The sequence below is a fragment of the Homo sapiens genome, chromosome 2 (assembly GCF_000001405.40).
Source record: "Homo sapiens chromosome 2, GRCh38.p14 Primary Assembly".
Taxonomy (NCBI): Eukaryota; Metazoa; Chordata; class Mammalia; order Primates; family Hominidae; genus Homo; species Homo sapiens.
The window spans coordinates 128,432,384-128,453,350 of NC_000002.12; the positions used below are offsets into that span (position 1 = coordinate 128,432,384).

Sequence of the window (20,967 nt, forward strand, 5' to 3'; positions counted from 1 at the left end):
TTATTTTCTTTCAACACTTGAAACAACATTGTGCTACTTCTTTGTACTCTCCCTTATTTCAGATAAAAAAATCTATTGTCGTTTGAGTTGGTATTCCCTTATAGGTATCTTCCCTCACTGCTTTCAAAATTTTTAGTTGTTTTTAGTTTTCAAAAGATTAAGGTGTGTCTTGGTGTGAAATTCTTTGGGTTTATCCCGTTTGGTTTTTGTTCAGCTTCTTGGCTCTGGAGATTTGTCTCCATTGCGTAATTTGTAGCCTCACTCTTTCTCCTCTCCCTCTGGTACTTCACCGATATAAATGTTGAATCTTTCATTATAGTCCTACAGGTTTCTGAAATTCTGTTTATCTTTTCTCTCTGATGTTTAGATTGAGCAAATTCTATTTTTTTGTTTCATTTATCTGATTCCATCTTCTATAATCTCCATACTACTATTGAACCTATCCAGCAAGATTTGTATTTGTTATTACATTAAACATTATTACATGTATTTCTTATTACATATTTCTAATTTCCATTTGGTTCTTTTTTTTTTTTTTTGAGATGGAGTCTCGCTCTGTCCCCCAAGCTGGAGTATGGTGGCACAATCTCAGCTCACTGCAACCTCTGCCTCCTGGGTTCAAGCGATTCTCCTGCCTCAGCTTCCCAAATAGCTGGGACTACAGGCATGCACCACCGCGCCCGCCTAATTTTTGTATTTTTAGTAGAGATGGGGTTTCACCATGTTGGCCAGGCTGGTGTTGAACTCCTGACTCAGGTGATCTGCAAGCCTCAGCCTCCCAAAGTGCTGGGATTATAGGCAGAAGCATTTTATTTTTTTGATACGGAGTCTTGCTTTGTTCCCCAAGCTGGAGTGCAGTGGCGTGATCTTGGCTCACTGCAACCTCTGCCTCCCAGGTTCAAGCAATTCTCCTGCCTCAGCCTCCTGAGTAGCTGGGACTATAGGTGCGTGCCACCATGCCTGGCTATTTTTTGTATTTTTAGTAGAGATGGGGCTTCACTGTGTTGGCCAGGCTGGTCTTGAACTCCTGACCTCATGATCTGCCCGTCTTGGCCTCCCAAAGTCCTGGGATTACAGGCGTGAGCCCCCGCGCCCAGCAGACAGAAGCATTTTTATTTTTATTTTGAGACAGGCTTACTCTGTAGTCCAGGCTGGAGTGCAGTGGTGTGATCCTGGCTCACTGCAACCTCTGCCTCCTGGGCCCAAGTGATCCTTCCACTTCAGCCTCCCGAGTAGCTGGGCCTCCAAGGTGCATGCCACCACACCCAGCTAATTTTTGTATTTTTTGTAGACGTGGGGTATTGTCAGGTTGCCCAGGCTGGTCTTGAACTCTGGACCTCAAGTGATCCACCTGCCTCAGCCTCCCAAAGTGCGGGAAATACAGGCGTGAGCCACAGCAGCCTGGCCTGAAGCAATTTTATAATCTCTGTTTTAAAATCCTTGTCAGATAATTCCAACATCTGATTCATCTTAGTGTTGGTGTTAATTGTCTCTTCTCACTCAAGTTGTGATTTTTTTTTTTTTTTTTGCTTCTTGGTATGATAGATGATTTTTTATTGTATCTTGGACATTTTTTCTGTGACACATTAGGAGACTCTGGGTCTTATATAAATCTTTTATTTTAGCATTCAGTCACGCTGTTTAGGTTTGGCATGCAGTCTACTTCTATCAGTTGTGGTTCGAATGTCACTTCAAAGCCTTTGTGCTGTGACTTTGGTCTGCCTGGTTTATCTGGCACTGCTGAGGCTCCCACTGGTCTCTGCTGATGCTGCCTGTGGGGTAGAAGAAGTTTCTCTAGGTTGGGTTACCCAGTGTTTCTTTGGGGAGGGAGGAGTGACACCACCACTCTACTGGTGCCCTCTGGATGTCCAGGTGTCTCTGGGTTGGGGTGGAGAGTCTTGGACAAAAAGGCCCCTAGACTGGGCCACCTGCTGCAGCTGGGCCCCTCACAGGCCTGCCCAGTTGTTGCTGGTTAGGGAAGGAGGAAGAGCCTCTGTGGACTAAGTTGCCTATGGTAGCCTCTCATGCTGGCTCTGCCTGTCACCTGCCCTGGCATCTCTCAGGGAAAAAGGGAAGTCTCAGGCTCATGAGGAAGCAGAGCATCTCCTTTGCCACTTATTCTGATGCGTCTTCTAATCCATCACTCTTGCTGTTGGTGTTGGGCTTGCCAGAGATGCACACACGTGCGGGTGTGTGTGTATGGGGGACTCCCACTGAGTCTGGGGGAGGTATAGTCCACCTGGGCTGCCTTCTGTTGCTCGTTGGGATTGGGAAACGCTGAGCCTAGGTGGCTGTCTCTTGTTGGGTGGCGGATGCAAGACCCCCTGCCACAGTGCCGTTCTTCAGTCCCGGAGTCCCAGACCAGTTTAATTTCTTGTACCTTTTTCAGTGACCTCCTTTGGTAGCTTGTCTCTTGCACAATTTCCCAGGCCCCAAGTGAACTTGGTGAGAGGATCAGGGGAAGTGGGTCCTGAACTATCTCCATTGAACACCATCGCCTTTGTTCCAGTACTCTCTTCCTTGGCCCTGCCACAGATAAACGTATGAGGTGGCAGGAAATGAGACAGTGGGGTGAAAGGCAAGGAGAGTTGACTTAGGAGACCCAGGTGTGACTTTGCTCCTAGCTCTGCTAGGACAACGAATTCCCTTTTCAACTCTGGGTCTTGATGGGGTTCAGGATATGCTACCCTGAAGTGTGAAATCTTGGCATTTGAGGAAGCAGCAGAAGCAGGAAGGTCTCTCTGACCCCCTCGACACCTTTCTCCCCTAAAGCAGGTCATAAAATCTAGGATGTTCTGACCTTCCCCTGAGGTAGGTCACAAGCCCCTCACTGGAGACGTATCCTCTTTATACCTAGAGGAAAGGAACGTCCCTATCTCTGAAGACACAGGTTGACAGAGAAGAAACTAAACAGACCGGCCTTGCTGACCTCCCTGAGGTTATTGCCATAGATTACACTTCTCCATGACCACCCACTTCATCAGACCTAGCAAAAAGTACACAGGCTTCCCTGCTTGAGTCTGCCTTTCCTTATGAAGGCTCCTGTGTCAGGTAAAACTTACATTAAAAACACATGTGTGCTTTTCTCTTGCTGATGTGTCTTTTATTGCAGGGGCCTTAGCCACGAACCTATCAGTGGGTGAAGAAAATATATTTTTTCACCCCTACAGCCATATTTCTTCATCCATAAAATGAAAAGAGAGGTCTGGGGTTGAGCAAGGTGACCTTGAAGACCTTCCCAGTGAGGATGTCCTGGATGGGTGATGCTGCGTGGTGTCTCTGTGCCAAGGATGGTGTCCTCAGTGGGTGCAAGTCCAGGGAGCAGGAGTGCGGGGCAGGGAGTGAGCCAGGTTGGAGCAAGAGCCCACAGGAGGGTGACCCACTAAGCTGCAGCCCCTGAGAAACTCCATCCAGGCCTCGGGGCAGGGAGAAGGAGAGAAGAGAGGAGGCATTTGCCCACTGGTCCCGTGTGCCCCTAGGTAAAGGTCTGTCCTGTAGGGTGTTAACCCACTGCTTCTCTGGGCTGCACACGTGTGCAGATGCCTGGGGGTCCCCAGGGATGTTAACAGAGAGGCTCAGTGGCAGGGAGAGGCGGGGGTGAGGGCAGGGGCCAGGCACTTCATTCTCATCTGTGTGAAGTTGGTTAGAGACCACACACAGAGTGGAGCAAGAGGCGAGCAAGGCAGGGAAGGTCTGAAGCAATGTCCTGGGCACTCTGCTCAGTGTCAGCGGCACTCATGCAAAGCATTGTGCTGTATATAAATGACTCGATTATTGCTGGTCTGCTTCTTCAGCATTCAGGCATACATGGCCCTCTTTTTACTGACATATGGAGCAACTGGCTCCCAGTTCCGAGGTGGTGGAGGCAGGGCACTGCCCCCAGCATGGCGTCCTTCACGCATGACTGGCAGATGGTGCCATTTCTGGGCCATCCTGGCAGCTCCCCACTGCAGGAGCCCCTGCGGTCTGTCACGCTGGTCCTCTGAGGTGGAGCTGTCTGCATGCACTTGGGCGCCGGCCCTCCCCTTTGCACGGAGCTGCCCGGGGCTGGCTCCTCACCTGCCCAGCACTCACATACATGGCAGCTGCACCCCAAATACTTGTTCAGTGAAGTATTGGGGGTGCAGCATCTGCAGTATCACTGCTAGTGCCTCATTGCTGCTGGGTTTCAAGGGCATCCCCATGAGTCCTGGGATGTGGGCTGATTGCTGAGATGAAGACCAGTGTGAGCAACTGGGGAGAAATCCTGGAGTCACAGGGAAGACATGTGCCTGGTAACTGTGCCAGTCTGCAGCGAGTCAAGGAAAAACAATTTTTTTTTTGGCTTCTGGCAAGTGGTGCTGGTTCAGGCTATGGTTCCAATTAGGACATATGGTGGAACTAACGAATATCTTCCACCGTACATTGTCGGCCAGATTTAGTGAGGAGAGGATGTGAGGTTTTCTTTGATGATGGTGATACCAGTAGCTCTCATCTCCTAAGCACCTACCAGGTGTCAGATCGTGGCATGTTGTTGCCTTTTGTCCTCACTACAACGCCGAGGGTAGGCATCATCGCTCCATCCCGTTGGCTCTGACCAGGAGTCTGGAAGTTCCTTTATTCATGTGGAAGGTGGGGCCTGGGTCCTCCTGGTTGAACTGAACACTGGCCATAGGTGAGAGCTGTGTGAGTGGTGTGTTGCACCAGGGAGGGGTGTGGAGGGGTGAGGGTGGGAGGCAAGAGCGCCAGGAGTTGGGGCCCTATCGGCAGAGCAAGACGCAGCCCCCCAGGACCCATAGGAAATGGAGAGCCTGGCATCAGCCTGGCCCCAGGCAGACCTGCGTCCACCAGCTGAGCCAGTTCTTGGAGTCTGGAGAACCTGGGTTTTTGTCCCCTCGGTCAAGTCCCTGGGGCTTTATAGGGCATCTACCAGGGGCCTGAAGCCAGGCGAGGCCTGGAGGAGGGGAGAGTGGAGGACGGGAGTGGTGCTGGGCAGGCGTCCCCGGCCCCGCCTGAGGAGCTCTGAGCTCAGTGGTCCGTGTGGCAGGAAATGAGGGTTGAGGCAGATGACTTCCAAGAGCTGATGTTGTATGACATGGAGGTCATCTGCTGCAGGCACTGGTGGGCTGGAAAGGCAGCCAGGGGCTGGGGCTGGCTGCTGTGGGTGGCTGGGCAGGCCGGCATCACATGAGTTCCTAGGTCTTTTAGTTTTTCTTTCTTTTTTCTTTTTTTTTCTGAGATAGAGTTTCGCTTTGTTGCCCAGGCTGGAGTGCAATGGCGCGATCTTGGCTCACCGCAACCTCTGCCTCCCGGGTTCAAGTGATTCTCAGCCTGAACCTCCCGAGGAGCTGGGATTACAGGCAGGTGCCACCATACCTGGCTAATTTTTTTTTAGTAGAGATGGGGTTTCTCCATGTTGGTCAGGCTGGTCTCAAACTCCTGACCTCAGGTGATCTGCCCGCCTTGGCCTCCTAAAGTGCTAGGATTACAGGTGTGAGCCACTGCGCCCGGCCTTCTGGTCTTCAAGTTTTTCAAGAGAAGTCAGAAACCCCCCTCATTTTATATGGTATTTACTGAGTTTCAAATGTTGATAAGTAATTAACAAACAAAAAACCCACTATAGGGTTAAACAAGACCCTTTGCTGGATGGATGTCCTGCGGGTGTCAGTGTGTGCATCTGGTGCTGGTGGCTTCATGTCCGTACATTGTGAAGCAAAATCCTGAAGAGCAGGGGCTGTGGGCACCTGGACTGGCACTGCCTCCTGGTGCTCGTCTCCTGGTACCCATCTCCTGGCACCCACCTCCTGGTGCCCATCTCCGTCCCCCGCCACCCCGTGCCACCCCCCAGTGTGGAGCGCAGCCTGGTCCGCAGAGGCCGTCCGCTAACCACTCCCGAGGACACGGCTGCTCTCCACACGGTTCCGTGACTGTCCTACAGGGGTCTGCCACTTCGTGTTGCACAAGTGGGTGTGTGAGTGTGTGAATGTGATCGTGTGTGTATGAGTGTGGGCATGAGGTGTAGGTGTGAATGTGGACATGAGGTGTAGGTGTGAGTGTGGACACCTGCATATGAGAGAGAGCCCGTGCACGGGGCAAGTTGGAGTGTGAGGTGTGAGCATGAGTGGGTGTATGTATGATGGAGTGCATGCATGTGTGCCTGTGTGTGTGAGTGAGCATTGTGCCAAATCTCCTCAGAGTCTGGGGTGCTTTGCAAGCTGAGCACCTTGGCTCCAAACCTCAGGGGGCAGGACAGCTGCCTGTCCACTGTGATTCCCTCTGTTCCTCTCCAAAACGCTCTGCCCACAACGAAGGGGCCTGAGCCCTTCCCCGTCTCTGGGGTCAGGCTCGGGCCTGGGCTCCCAGCACTTCTGTCTGGACCACTGGTTCCTGGGGCCCTGAGCCACTGTGTCAGAAGCTCGACTGCCCTGTGGAGAGGCCCAAGATCAACAGAAGAGGGATGGGGGCCCGCCATCCCCACCCATGTGCCGGGTATGAGAGTAGGCACGTTCTGGACCTCCAGGCCAGCTGTGCTGCAGGCTGAGCGCCACAGAACGACCTCCATCGCCCAACGTCACGTCACACCAAGCAGAAGAATCGCCCAGATGAGTCCTGCTCCAACTCTGAGCCCCTGGACAGTGAGATCTGATCGTATGGTGTGTTTTAAGCCACTACATCTTGGGATGGTTTGTAAAATAGCAGCAGATAAGCAGAATGATCAATTCCTTTAATATTTCCCAAATGGTAATGTGTCATGTTTGGTAAAGGGTTTCTTTCAGGCTGCTTCAAATTAGAAAGAACCATGTCAGCAAACTGTGACAATAAAAAAAAAGCAGCAGCCCGAATCCCAGTGAGACACAGGCTAGCTCATTCATTCAGATTCAATTCTAATGACGATGACTTATTTTTCCCCTGTTAGCAGCATCACTGGTAACTAAAGTTAGCCTTGGCTCAAAAATCAATGTATTATTTTAGAGCCTAAAGCAGGCAGGGAGTGAGCTGATGACTGACAGGAGGGCTGCAGGGCCTGTGGGTTCCAGGCCTCTCTCTCCTCCGCTGCTGCCTCCCGGGTAGCTGTGTGGAGCTGGCGGCCAGTAACCCTGAGGTTGAGCAGGAGCCCCCAGCAGGCTTTCCAGCTTCTCGGCCACGCCTTCCTTGATGTGGTGAGGCACACGTGTCAGCCAGCACTTGGTGGTGTGGGCTGACTTGTGCTTGTCCCCCGAAACTCCTTTACTAAAGTCCTCACCCCAGGAACTCAGAAAGTGACCTTATTTGGACCTAGGGTCCTTACACAGGTGGTCAAGGTAAAATGAGGCCTAATCCAACCACTGGAGTCTTTACAAGAGGAGATGAGGACACACACAGGGAGGTGACGCGAAGACACAGGACATCTGCAAGACACAGGGAGAGGCCGGGGACAGAGCCTTCCCTCACAGCCCTCAGAGGGCACCTTGATTTTGGACTCCTGGCCTCTACAGCTGTGAGACAGCAAAGCTGGGGTGTTGAAGCCACCTGGTGTGTGGCACTTTGTTCTGGCAGCCCGAGGTGACCAGGACACTTGGCACGTTCATGCTGATCACAGCTGCATGTGTGGGGGCAGCCATGAGCTTGCCTGGCCGAATGCCTGGGTGCTCCTGCGTGGTCACCTGCTGCCCCCCACCACGGCTTTCCCCATGTCACAGCAAGGTAGGCTGTGCACGCTTGTCCCAGGCTGGACCCTGCACCTCCCCCAGGAAGGTGGTTTGGGGCCACCTCCACTCTGTCCAGTGACCCTTCCCTTCTTTTGTGGCATTTTTGTGCTTTGTGGCTTCATTCCTATGAGGTGGGGGTCCCACCATGGGGACAACCAGGAATGACACTCCAGCTGGGTCCTTGGTTGCCCCACTTCTGAGTCTCACCAGTGAGAAATCCCCAAGCTGGAGTAGCCCCATGAATTCAAAATCGAAGCCCCTAGCAACTGTCAGTGGCTCCCTGCAAGCCTTGTTCCAAGCCACAGTGGTCCTGCCCTGGATCAAGGGAGCAAACTCAGAGGCACTGTGCAGAGGAGACTCCTGGTCGGCCTCAAGACAGTGCAGCGCAGCAAGCAGAGGCTTCAGGGAGGCAGGGCATAGGAGGACGGCCCCAGTGAGCAAGGAGCGGGCCCCACCCAGATGGCCATGGGCACAGAATCCTTGGGGAGCTGCGGAAGTCCTGGTGGAGGAAGAGGGCAGCTGAGGTCAGAAGGGGAGAGGGGAGGCTGGGCAGCAGCCCTGCTGCATTCCTGGGACTTGATGGTGATGGTCACACAGCGGCTCCAGGAAGCAGATTCTGAGAGGGTGTACTGGGCAGGACGACTTTAGGGAATTATCTTGGCATTGAGCAGGGGCGGGGAGGGGTAAGTTGGGATGCCAAGCAGAACTATTTTAGCCTTGGCTGATGGCCAGGGAGCAGTGGGCAAAGTGGCCCACAGAGGCTTCCCCTGGTGGGTGAAGAAGGCCCTTGGGTGTGGGCTGCCTGGGGAGGCGGCCTTGGCTGGCAGCTCTGCAGCTGAAGCAGACCCCACAGTGGCCGGCAGCCCTCCCAGCAGCCTGGTGACCACTGGGACTTTACTGCTCCTCAGGATCCCTTGGATGTGCCCCCCCCTCCACCCCAGCCTTCCTTGCCCGGTACTCATGGGCCCCAGGGGAGCCCATCAGATGCTGGCACGTGGGTCCCACCAGTTCTCATCCGGCACCTGCTTCCTTTGCCTTTCCCCTCCCCTTGGGCTCTGGCCAGCTCCAGAGATGCCCACATGGCCACAGCCTCAGGAGCTTGTTCAGCTGTGTGGAGCTAGTGCACGGTCATGGGGCCTGCTGGGCCCTGTGTCCTGCCTGTCCCTGCCCTGCCTGCCTACCCTTGAGCACAGCCCGTCCGGCTGGGCAGCCCCTTGGCGGGCAGCTGTGCGAGTTCCCAGCCCTTGGTGCTGGTCCTCGGGGCCCATGGCCTCAGCCTGGTACACCCGTCATGACTGCGTCGCTCATCTGTCCCCTTCTGAGTGTGTCCACTGCCTAGGCTGCTGCTGTTGGGGCTGCCCCTGGCTGGGCCAGGCAGGTTCCAGGAAGTGGAGCCTGGAGAGCTGGGAACAGAGGCTGTGGTGCCAAAGGCAGAGGCGGCAGGAGTGGGAGCAGCCTTCAGAGGTGCGGAGACGGGCAGAGGCCACCGAGGAGCACCACCTCCCAGGGCTGGACCACGTGCTGGGCCACGCGTTGACCTCTCTCCAAGCAGCTCCTGTCTCGCTGCCCTGAGCCCTGGGGTGTGGTTCAGGAAAGGCCACCTGCGCCTCTCCCCATAGGCAGGGCCACCCAGGCCTGCAGTGGTGGCAACTCCATCCCAGTCGGAAGCCTGGTGAGTCCCAGGGAGCCGTCCAGGGGACGCCACTGACCCCTTGGTCAGTTCAGCCATCACAGGGTGGCACCGGGGGCCCCTCCAGCCAGGCCCTCAGCCCCTCTCATTATCTTCCTAGTGCTCTTCCTGCTGTCTGTGGTCTTTGCTGTTTTTCTGTCTCTTGAATTTCCCTGACATTCCCTGCTCCTCTGTGCTTGGGGTTCACAGTCTGGAGGGGCCTTCTGTAGCTGGGTGCTGCTGGTGGGCACTGACGAGGGGTGTGTGAACGCAGCCTGGCTGAGGCCTGGGCAGGGAGCTGCTAGATTTTGCCTTGAGCCCTCTCTTGGGCGTTCCCCTTCCTGCTCCCCAGTCCTTATCTCGGTTCTCCCCTACCCAGTAACCAACTCATTAGCAGTCCATTTCATGGACAAGGTGACCTTCTCACACAGAGAGCAAGAGCCCCCCAACTGCCCAGGGGCGCAGAGTGGGAGCTGAGGCTGAGGCTGGGGGTGGGGGAAAGCACCTCCTGAGGGCAGTTTGCTCCAGGGAGCAAGAAGGAACTGGAGGGGGGATTCCTGGGTCTCCTCCAGAAAAGGCGCAGGCCAAGGTGAGCAGGGGCTTTGAGGGGAAGGCCCCGGGTGAGAATCTGCCCTGGGGTGCCCTTGAATCTGCAAACCATGGTTCCTTCCCAGAGAGGCCCTGAGGCTTTAGTTATGTGGCCCCAAATTGGCAACTACTTAAGGTCCTCTTTAGGGGAGTGGCTGTCTAAATTATGGAGTGATTGGAATGAATGCCCCTCAGCCATTCAAAGGTTTACTAAACATATGAATCCACGTGATAAAATGCTCGTCCTAGAAGCTTAAGTACAAAGAGCAGGCTACAAAATGGCCCGTGCCCCGCCCCCCACTTCTTGCAAATTTTGCTTTGTAAACAAATAGAAGTTAGGCAGAGAAAAAAGGCTGGAGGAAGTACTAGACCAATGTGGGAACAGTGAGTTTATGAGTTATTTACATTTTTCCTTTCCTTACAGTGAGTTTTTGCATTATTTACTTTTTTCTTTTCTTTTTGCCCTTGGGAATCACTGTGTAATGTGGGCAGCTGATTAGAATGAAGGTGAGGCAGCCAGGGAAAGGTTTACTAAACCTATGAATTAACACAAAAAAGCAGGCTACAAAAGCATGCCCTATTCTTGGAATTTTGCTTTGTAAAAAGCAGAAGTTATCTTAGTGGAGTAGGTGGGCCCTGGGGGTGCAGAGGAAGAGGCTCAGGAGTTAGAGCCTCCTTGGGGGCAAACCCAAGTCAGGAGGAGGATCTTTTTTCAGAGGACTTTCTCCATTTCCGGAGTGGAGTCGGGCCGGCGCTCCCCACACCCCTGCTCTGGTTCCCTGATAGAAGCAGTGCAGGAAAAAGTGCAGTAGCTGCCGGCCCGGGGCCTTCCCTTCTCTGCTGAGGTGGCCTGGCTGGGTCTAGTGCCTACTGGGTGATTTGCCAGCAAGAGCAAGTCAAGATTCTTGTGGCCCCTGCGGCCTCTCATGTGTAGTCGGAGTAGTAACCTGCTGACTTAGCTGGCACCCTCCTGTTACCGGAAAGGGGTCCCGATCCAGACCCCAAGAGAGGGTTCTTGAATCTTGCACAAGAAGGAATTTGGGGTGAAGTGAAAGCAAGTTTATTAAGTAAGTAAAGGAATAAAGAATGGCTACTTCATAGGCAGGGCAGCCCTGAGGGCTGCTGGTTGCCCATTTTTGTGGATATTTCTTGATGATATGCTAAACACGGGGTGGATTATTCATGCCTCCCCTTTTGAAACCATTCAGGGTAACTTCCTGGCGTTGCCATGGCATTTGTAAACTGTCATTGCGCTGATGGGAGTGTGGCAGTGAGGATGACCAGAGGTCACTCTCTTCACCATCTTGCTTTTGGAGGGTTTTGGCCGGCTTCTGTACTGCAGCCTGTTTTATCAGCAAGGTCTTTATGACCTGTATTTTGTGCTGACCTCCTATCTCATCCTGTGACTTAGAATGCCTAACCATCTGGGAATGCAGCCCAGTAGATCTCAGCCTTATTTTACCCAGCCCCTATTCAAGATGGAGTTGCTCTGGTTCACATGCCTCTGACGCTCCTGCGGATGCTGCCGGGGGGGGCGTGAGGTCCCGCCGGCCTGGCGTGCAGCAGCTCTGCATGGGGCTTCATCTGAGGTCTGGTGCTGGAGAGTTCAGGGGAACACAGGATGGCAGAAAGTAGCGGGTGCAGGGTGGGCTTCCAACGCCTCATCCAGTGGCCATCTTGGGGCAGGTTTCGATGCTGCTGGTGCCTGACCCTAGTTCATGAGATGAGTGAGGAATAACTGAACACTGTCTGGGAGCCTTGGGCAGACATTTGCTTTTGGCTGAGGCTGGCATTGCTGAATGATGCAGTCAGTGTGGCCCTAGGGTGACCAGCCTAACTCCCCAGAGTCTACCCTCCTGTGTCTGTGCAGCCCCCTGCTTCTGCAGTTAGGACCTCGCTGGGCTGTTCCTGGGGCACTGGGGAGTTTTCCTGGCAGGCAGGCCCTGGTGTGAGCATGAAGCTGCATGACCGTCAGTGACTCCCCAATTCTCTTCCTTGCCTCCCCTCCTCTGGCCCTTCCCTCACCACATGACTGCATTTCCAGGAGGCCCAAAGCTCCCTAGCACAATCCCTTTCCTGCTCTGTCTTCCCAAGAAGCTGCCCTGTGCATGGTGCTCTCGTGAGGACACTCGGATGCAGGAATCACTCTGTGTCCTCAGATGAGCGCTGGGTTTGTGCAGCAGTCTGGCCCCTCTGCCTGGCAGTGGCACCATCTGCTCCCAGTCCCTCAGGCCTGCAGAGCTCTCAAAGAGAGCCCATCTGGCCTGGGCCTCCCCCTCTTCTCTGCCAGGGCTCAGAGGGAGGTGGTGCAAGGGCCAGGTGGCACCCACCTGCTCCCCTCCTCTCTCACCACCAGGCAGCCCCCCACCAAGCCCCCGCTGTGGGAAGTTTGAGGGTGGCTGATATGGCCAGGCGTGGGTGGTGGTCACTGGGCTGTTTGCTGATGATATTCCCAGGTCTCCACTTTTGGGGATGTGGAAGGGGACCCATCCTGGTTTCCCTGTGGTTGGCTGGGGCAGAGTAACTGGTTCTGGCTTCGATGGTAACGAAGTGATGAGTCGAGAGTGGCCTCCAGGCTGGGCACTTAATTTCTAATGTGAGGCCTCTCAAAATTCTTTCTGCCTCTTCTACTAATCAGCCAAATTCCAGAGGGGAGACCCCAAACTCTAGCCTTGGCATGAGGGAACATGTAGGGGAGCCCTACCCTTCTCGTGGGATTCAGTGTGATCAATGCTGCATCTCTGATTTCTTTTCTATTTTTATTTTTTACAAAAGCCTACAGCACCCAGTATTCCCGGGTGGTCTCCCATCCAAATACTAATCAGGCACAACCCTGTTTAGCTTCTGAGATCACACGAGATCAGGCATGTTCAGGATGGTATGGCACAGACTGTATCTCTGATTAAGTCACTATAGTGAGGTTGTTGACTGTCTCAGGGCAGGAAAGCTGATACCGACTGACACAGGCCCTGTGGAAAATGCCTCTTGTTCAGAACGAAGGAGCTGCTCCTGGCTAGAGGAGCCCTGGTGATTCATGTGGTGCAACCCTTTACAGAAGGGGAAATTGAGGCCCAGAGCGGGAAGGATGGAGTCTTAGGTCACAGAGCCAGTTGGTTGGTGCCACAGCTGGGAGGCGATTGCTTGTCTTGTTGGTATCTTCTTTGTTGAGTCACATTGCTTCCAGAGACTGGATTTGTGGAAATGCTTCTAAAGCAGAACAGAAAAACAATGGCCCAACTTTGGGGTGAGGGAGAGTTAATATAGAGAATTTTTATTAAACACTCATTTTCAACCTTAGCCTGAGGCCAAGAAGACCATCCTGCTGCTATCATTGAGGCTGCAGGCTTCCTGGCAGGGGCGTAGCTGAGTCGGCCCCTGGAAGCCTTTGAACAAAGTTTGCAGCCTTCTCTGAAGAGCACACTGAGTTCCCTGGGAGACCAGCCAGGGGAAGAAACAGGGGCTGGTGCTGGCTAGGTCCTTTCTGGGCGGGCTCACATTGCTGCATGTAGGTTATATTAGCCTTGTCTCGTTCTTTTTTTTTTTTTTTTTTGAGATGGAGTCCCATTCTGAGCTTGGGCTGGAGTGCAGTGGTGTGATCTCGGCTCACTGCAACCTCCACCTCCGAGGTTCAGGTGATTCTCCTGCCTCAGCCTCCCGAGTAGCTGGGATTACTGGCATGTGCCAGCACACCCGGCTAATTTTTGTATTTTTAGTAGAGATGGGGTTTCACCATGTTGGCCAGGCTGGTCTCGAACTCCTGACCTCAAGTGATCCACCCTCCTCAGCCTCCCAAAGTGTTCAGGGATTACAGTGGTGAGCTACCACGCCTGGCCAGCCTTGTCTTGTTCTAAAGGTGAGTGCATGGAGGTTTGCAAACATTGACTTGTCCAGGGTCACACAGCTGGTAGGTGATGGAACTGGATTTGAATGTGGGTGGTGTGGCCCTAGGACTGGTTCCTGGAGCTGTCAGCTGCAGCCCTGGCTCAGCATCCAGATTTTGCCACCTTTTAGCTGTGTGTCTGTGGGTGTTGCCTCACCTCTGAGGTTGTTTCCTTGCCCCTCAGTTGGATCCTAGGGCAGATCCTAGGCCTGCCATCTTGGTGTTCCCATGAGTTTTGCAGACAACGTGTGTGAATGCTGGTTAGGGCCAACGCAAGGCAGGCAAGGCTCATGCATGTAGAGTCCTGGGAGTTCCTCCAGCACAGAACCTCTTGGAGATCTGCTGCTTCCACCCTCGGGCCGGCATGGGTGCCTCAGCCAGCACCCAGCAGTTTCCCCGGAAGAGAAGCTCAATTTCCCTGAGGCTTTGGTGGCAGTTCCCAGAAAGGGCTGTCCCCTTCTGGGAAGGAAGGAGGAGAGAGGGTGGTGGCAGGGAGCAGCTGGTGGCTGAGCAGAGAGGTCAAGGGAGGGGAGCGGACGCTGCCGGGAAGCACATATTGATTTCCTCCTTTTAAAAATGGACTCAAGTGGAATCATTCATAATGTGCTCTCCCACCACTGACAATACCCATTCCCATCACTGTCAGGGAAATGGATTTGCAGCACTCTCAGAAAAAACCAACATGTTGCCGGAGACGAGCAGAGGCGGCTCGGTTCCATCCCCAGATGCTTTCTGGAGACAGAGGGCGGCAGGATGAGCTGTCTGGGATTGTTCCCGGGGCAAGATCTGCAGTGAGCCTTGCAGCCCCGACAAGCAGCCACCCCATCGTGGGCCGGATGTTGAAAGGGGAAGCCCAGAGGGGTCTGACAGAGCCCTGGGGTCGGGGAGGCCGCCTGGGGAAGCCAGTGTCTGAGATGAGTCTCAGGAGTGGCCATGTAGAACCTTCTAGGTGGAGAGACACCATGCCCGGCCCCTGGCCAGGTGGCTCCCTGCAGGAAATCAGTGGGAGCCCAGTGTGGCTGGGACTCTCAGGGTGAAGGCAGGAGATGGGGAGGCTGGAGAGAGGGACAGGAGCACCCGGGGGTCCCAGTGTCTTTCTCTGCTACCACCCTCCAGGGGCCGTCAGTCCAGGTGTGGGGAGGCAACTTTGGGTGGGGTATGGCCCCTGCTGATCACCCACAATGCCTGCCCTGGGTCTGGAGCTGGGCAAAGGGACACTGACCGGAGGCCACTGTTCTGCCTCCCTTGGGCTTGGCTGGGGCTGCCCAGCAGCAGTGGACACATTCCCAGCCATGGCCCCCGTGGGTGGTGCCGCCTGCTCTGAAGACAGCCCTGGCCAGTCCCCTGTCCAGGCAGACCATCTCCCCTGTCAGCAGGGCTCAGGAGGCCACCACACCCAGGTACATCTCAGTGTTCATTCATCCACCCAATCATTCCTTGGGAGGAACATCGACACCTGGGCCTGGGCAAGGTGCTGGGGAGCCAGCCCCATAGCTTTATGGCAGGAGCAGGTGGGAAGCAGGACCCACAGTATTATGGTGGGGGCAGGTGTGGGGCAGGACCCCACAGCGTTACAATGGGGGCAGGAAGGGGGGCGGGACTCACAGTGGTATGGCGGGAACAGGTGGGGAGCAGGACCCACAGTATTATGGTGGGGGCAGGTGTTGGGGGGCGGGACCCACAGCATTATGGTTGGGGTAGGTGGGGGGGCAGGACCCACTGCGTTACAGTGGGGGCAGGTGGGGGGCGGGACCCACAGCATTATGGTGGGGGCAGGTGGGGAAGTGGGACCCACAGAGCTATGGTGGGGGCAGGTGGGTGGTGGGACCCACAGCGTTACAGTGGGGGCAGGTGGGGGGCGGGACCCACAGCATTATGGTGGGGGCAGGTGGGGGGCGGGACCCACAGCGTTACAGTGGGGGCAGGTGGTGGGCGGGACCCACAGCATTATGGTGGGGGCAGGTGGGGGGCGGGACCCACAGCGTTTCGGTGGGGGCAGGTGGACACACACAGGCTTTGGAGCCACGCAGACTAGGATCAAATCATACACTGTGGGTGACCTTTAGAAAGCCATCGAAGATCTCTGGGCCTCAGTTTCCTGAACAGCAAAACAGGGCTAACTCTTGTCAGATGGCTGTGGGGCTCCAGGGATATGGTGGCTATGAAGGACCTGGCAGGTATTAGGCCCCCACCAGGGCCCCAGGAGCTCAGCCCAGGTGCTCTTCGTTTACCTGGACACTTCAGGCAGGCTGCGCCACAGGGCCTTGGCACGTGCTGCCTCCTCCCTGTCACCCCAGCACTGCCCCCTGCCCTGCCGTATCCTCTCGCCACAGTGCTCAGTGATGTCCCACGGAGATGGGTGTCTTTTCTTTCCCTCGCCAGAATGTGAGCATCGCCAGGGCTGGGGTTTCGATTTGCTTTGTTCCCCCAGTCTCTTCCATGCCCAGAACAGTGCCTGGCCAGTGGCAAGGGTGAGGGGTGCTGCTGAGTGGCTAGAATGTCTGAGAGCAAAGCCATGGCCATTTCTGCTCACTAACCCTGAGCAACAGGAGAGGGGTCTGGGCCGAGGGCCTTAGTGGAAGGGGGCTGTCAGTCCTTTTGAGCCTTCATGAGGTGGGAAGAGAGAGGCTGGGCCTTGGAATCAGAGAGCTGGTTCCACCCCTGCAGGGAGTGCAGGTGGGAGGCTCAGGCCCCAGGTGAATCAGGCTCTGTCCCTGCCTGTGAGAAGCTCCTGGTCTGGAGGGGGCCCCAGCCATGAGAAGAGTTGGAAGCCACCCAGGATGATGTGAGAACCAGACCCAGACAGTGACTTCCCGGGTCAGGGTGCCCCTTGGCAACCTCAGACAGCTGCTTGGCAGTAGCCCAGTTGGCCCCTTAGGGAGGCACCCCCAACCTTCCCTGGCCACGTGGGTGGGTATTCATGGGCCTGGCTGCTGTGTAGGTCAATGAGACCCAGGCTCCTTAGGAGCTGTGTGCTGGCATGTTGTCTCTGTCCTCAAGAGCTGTTTCCCCCTGGTCATTACAGGTACACGCAGATGGCAGAGGACCTGTAAAACCCCTGAGGGGTCAGGGACGTTGCCTGGGCTGAACAGTTGAGGGATGCAGCAAGGGACTAAGTCAGGGTGCCCACCCCGGCACACACAAGCATGGGCCTGGGATTTACCAAAGGACGGAGTCCTCTGTCAGTGATGAACACGAATCTTCCTGGGAGAGGGGCCCGAGCTGGATCTGAGTCCTGTCTGGCTGATGCCCTCTGACTGTGGGTGGTGACTGGCTCACTGAGCCTCAGTTTCTTCACCTGTAAAGCGGGCGTGGTAACAGTACGGCCTCAGGGGCTGTCTTGGGGTAGAGTGCACACTGAGCACTGCTTGTTCTCGCAGTTACCATGGGGATTCGAATTCACTCCACGGCATGAACCACATGTGCTGGAGGGGCCTTTCCCGAGATCTTTTTGGATGGTGGAGCCTCTGCAAGTAGACTGTAACCAAGAAAGGAGGGCGGTGGGCCCAAGGCACAGCCAGCCCTTCCCAGTTGCGTGAGTGGAGGAGCAGTGGGTGGTGGCCTTGCTGGAGAGAGAAGCCTCCGGGAGTGGGCCTGGGCCCCGTGCTCCTAGCCTGACCCTCCCGGTCTGAACTGAGCCATCTCAGGGAAGGCCGTCTATAGAGGGCAGGCTTAGTGGGGCTGTGGCGCTGTCTTCCCAGTGCTGGTGGGGATATACCGCAACTCCGAAGCCCCGCGTGTGTCTGGCTCCCAGCCCTTCCCTTCAGAGGCCCAGGCCTCTGGCATCAGGCTTACTTCCGGCTCCTGGCCAAAGCTGCAGCAGCTCCCAACAGGACAGTGACATCTGTCTCTGGGATCAGAAAGTGGTGGCTGAGGCTCACCCCATCCTAAACAGGAAGAGAGCAGGCAGACGAGGCTGGGTCCCTGTCACTAAGGCCTCTACAGAGGCAGGGCCACTCAGGGTGGACATGGCCACCCAGAAGTGTGGCCTGGGCTGGGCTAGCCTGGGAGGGTGAGGAAAAGGAATGGATGAAGAAGACTGGGAGATGCACCTAGCTTTGATGCCTCTGCTTCATGGGTCTCTTTGATGCCTCTGCGTCATAAGGCTGCTGTATGCTCTCGCTGGATGGTGCGTTGGATGGCCAATGGCAGGCAGACAGCGTTCCCGCCTCGGCTCTGAGACCAGGCATCTCCTCAGCACAGAGGGCCCCACTCCTTCAGGGGTCACCACTGGAGGAGCCACTACCTCTTTCCTTGAGTTATCACAACAATCCCAGGTCACTCCCAGTGTCACCCCGTTTTACAGAAGAGACAGCTAGGGAGTTGCGGAAGCTGCTCATGAGTGCTGGGTGAGGGCCAGACTCAGGGTCCTTCTGCAATAAGAACCCTGCCCCCCTGGGCCTGGGGCAGCGGCTGTGTTTTCAGGAAGGTTGCACAGAATTTGGATCTCTGCCCCACTTCCGCCCCTGACTTAGGCGTCTTCCAGAACCCCCTAATCCCCTGCTTTATCTAAAGAAATGAGTGCTGCAGAGAGCTAGCCACAGGCTCCAGGGAGCCATTTCTAATGGGAAAACATGCCCATTTGCCTAAATGAATCAAATCCATTTCTCTCCCATACATATTTCATGGGCTTCCTCTCTGTGTAATTTAATTATCACTGTTGTTAGTGTTAATGCCCTGGTTGGTGCAGCTCTGCTCCCCAGACCCTCTGAGCCTGATGCTGCAGCAGGGCTCGAGGAGGAGCCGGAAGAATGGAACCATCGCTATGGCAACAGGATGCCATAATATTTCCTGATGATCTATTGCTTTAATCTTGAGGGCTCTGAGTATATTGCCAGCATTAATAAATAAATCTAAATAACACCCTGGTGAGATTGATATTATTCTATCCATTTTACTGATGGATAAACAGCAGCTCAGGGGGGTTAAGTGCCTCGCCTGGGGGATGGGTAAGAAGGACTGTGCTGGAGATGTGTGCGAGGGCCACACCGGTTTCTGGGGGCCCCAGTGTCCCTGCTGGAGGGGCTGGGTCAGTGCCCTAGAAGCCTTCTGGGAGCCGGTGGCACCATGATGTTGGAAAGTGCTCTGGACATATTTACATTTGTGACCCTGTGTCTGGGTTGGGGCCAGCCCAACTTCTGGTAGTGGCAGCAGGAAGGGCCCTCCGGCCTTAACAGGGCTCCTGTTTCCTAAGTCCAGAATGTTACCCTGAGATGTTCTGTGCTTTGGTTTCGGTGTGTTCAGCAATACATTTCCTTGGAAGAAATAGCCTTTGATCCAGTCCCAGCGTCACCTTGTTGTGAGAGTAACCAGGATGAGTCTTGAGTCTGGGTTTTAGAAGTGGAGGGCAGGAGGGGCAAGGAGGCAGGTGCGTTCTGTGCCTGGTGTTTAGGTGGGTGAGCCCCTTGCCCCCTTCCCCAGCTGCATGCAGATATGTGTTCTTATTTTTTATTTTTCCAGCTAAGGGCTTGAACCTCCCCCACCTTATTTAGGAGGATTTCCAGCCCCTCTCCCTCCGGGTGAGGCCTCCCCGCCCTTTGGCTGTCCTGGGTCTTACTCCACTTAAGAACTTAGTCCCATTTCCTCTGTGGCTGCCTGACCCCACCACATAGTGTCACCGCTGAGCATGGGTCCTATGTAGCCTGATGGTGGCTTGTCCAGCCTGTTCCCCTCACTTCTCGCACACTGTCTCTCACCTGCCCAGTGGCCGGTCCAAGCGCAGTCACTTCTGCACTGTTGCTGCACTCAGTCCAAAGCAGCTGCTTGGTGGCTTCAGCCTCACCCCACTCAGCCTCCCACAGATCCTCAGTCCATCAGCGTCCATTACATACCAGCCTTTGTTACCCACCAGCCTCCATTACCCACCAGCCTCCATAACCTACCAGCCTCCATGACCTACCAGACTCCATTACCCATCAGCCTCCATTACTCAGCAACCTCCATTACTCACCAACCTCTGTTACCCACCAGCCTCCATTACCCATCAGCCTCCATTACCCACCAGCCTCTATTACCCAGCAGCCTCCATGACCTACCAGCCTCCATTACCCATCAGCCTCCATTACTCACCAACCTCCATTACTCACCAACCTCTGTTACCCATCAGCCTCCATTACCCATCAGCCTCTATTACCCAGCAGCCTCCATGACCTACCAGCCTCCATTACCCCCCAGCCTCCATTACCCGCCAGCCTCCATGACCTACCAGCTTCCATTACCCACCAGTCTCCATTACCCACCAGCTTCTATTATCCACCAGCCTCTATTACATACTAGCCTTTATTACCTGCCAGTCTCCATTACCCACCAGCCTCCATTACATACCAGCCTCCATTACCCACCAGCCTACTTCTTCTTTAAAGCTGATGGCCCTCGTGGAGGTCTTTGTTGTCCTTTTCATTCTGTGATCCTTACTTCTCTGTTAAAAGGGTCCTAATAATGCGGGATAAAAAGCCCGCAGCTTGGCATCTGGGTCCCTTTCTTTACGGCACCACCTGTGCTCCTGCTCAAGATTACCTGCCCCTTACCCCAGGACCAGTTATGTCCACCAAGGAGCCTTGGGAACAGCATCGGACCAAAGTGCCCCTCAGGGCAGTGAGGCCATATCATTTTTGCCTGAGCTCATCTTAGCTGGTTTCCAGTCTCCTGCAGCGCCAGGGTGCTAGCTGATGACTTCTCTAGCTGGCATGGGCGGCTCGGCCTCTCCGCTCCTCCCGTACAGTTCTGTGAGCTCCTGGGTCTCTCTGTTCATTGCTGGTGCCAAGCACTGTGCCTGTTGAGTAGACGTGCTTTGGGGAGCGTCCCCATTCCACACGACCTTTCTCTACACTCCCTTCTCTGACGTGGCTGGCTGGACCAGGTGTGGGCATCTGACCCCAGTGGTCCCCTCAGGTTCCTCCCGGTCATTTGGAATTGGGCATCTGCGATGTTGTGACATCATAAGAAATACATATGTGGTCTTAGTCCCTGGCTCCTGGCACAGAGCTCCTAATACCCTTGGCATTCTCTGAGTGATGAGGGTGAGAGGAGCATCTTCTGTTACTCACAGCAAGACCCTTCCAACCACACCTGAATTTATGCCAGTGAGATGACTCTTGGAGGATGGGGCTGGACCAGCTGTGTGATTAGAGGGTTGGAAATTTCAGCCTATCCCCCACCTGCTG

At 54.9% G+C, this 20,967-nt stretch overlaps 1 long non-coding RNA gene and 1 pseudogene across 1 annotated transcript in view, besides 4 other annotated features; one reads left to right on the forward strand and one right to left on the reverse strand.

Moving 5' to 3' along the window:
• Positions 1-20,967, forward strand: part of LOC105373611 (uncharacterized) — a 241,632-nt gene that overhangs the window by 29,781 nt on the left and 190,884 nt on the right. The gene's annotated exons all lie outside the window — the stretch shown is intronic.
• Positions 5,893-6,393: an enhancer, noted in NCBI's record as "H3K4me1 hESC enhancer chr2:129195850-129196350 (GRCh37/hg19 assembly coordinates)". NCBI's record gives its function as "activates a minimal SCP1, AML or CMV promoter by ChIP-STARR-seq in naive H9 embryonic stem cells {active_cell/tissue: H9 hESC(naive)}" and the evidence as "EXISTENCE:reporter gene assay evidence [ECO:0000049][PMID:30033119]".
• Positions 6,394-6,894: an enhancer, noted in NCBI's record as "H3K4me1 hESC enhancer chr2:129196351-129196851 (GRCh37/hg19 assembly coordinates)". NCBI's record gives its function as "activates a minimal SCP1, AML or CMV promoter by ChIP-STARR-seq in primed H9 embryonic stem cells {active_cell/tissue: H9 hESC(primed)}" and the evidence as "EXISTENCE:reporter gene assay evidence [ECO:0000049][PMID:30033119]".
• Positions 12,698-12,815, reverse strand: RNA5SP103 (RNA, 5S ribosomal pseudogene 103; annotated as a pseudogene).
• Positions 14,092-14,386: an enhancer, noted in NCBI's record as "tiled region #12782; K562 Activating DNase matched - State 8:EnhW". NCBI's record gives its function as "activates a minimal TATA promoter and a strong SV40 promoter by Sharpr-MPRA in K562 cells {active_cell/tissue: K562}" and the evidence as "EXISTENCE:reporter gene assay evidence [ECO:0000049][PMID:27701403]".
• Positions 16,024-17,015: an enhancer, noted in NCBI's record as "H3K4me1 hESC enhancer chr2:129205981-129206972 (GRCh37/hg19 assembly coordinates)". NCBI's record gives its function as "activates a minimal SCP1, AML or CMV promoter by ChIP-STARR-seq in naive H9 embryonic stem cells {active_cell/tissue: H9 hESC(naive)}" and the evidence as "EXISTENCE:reporter gene assay evidence [ECO:0000049][PMID:30033119]".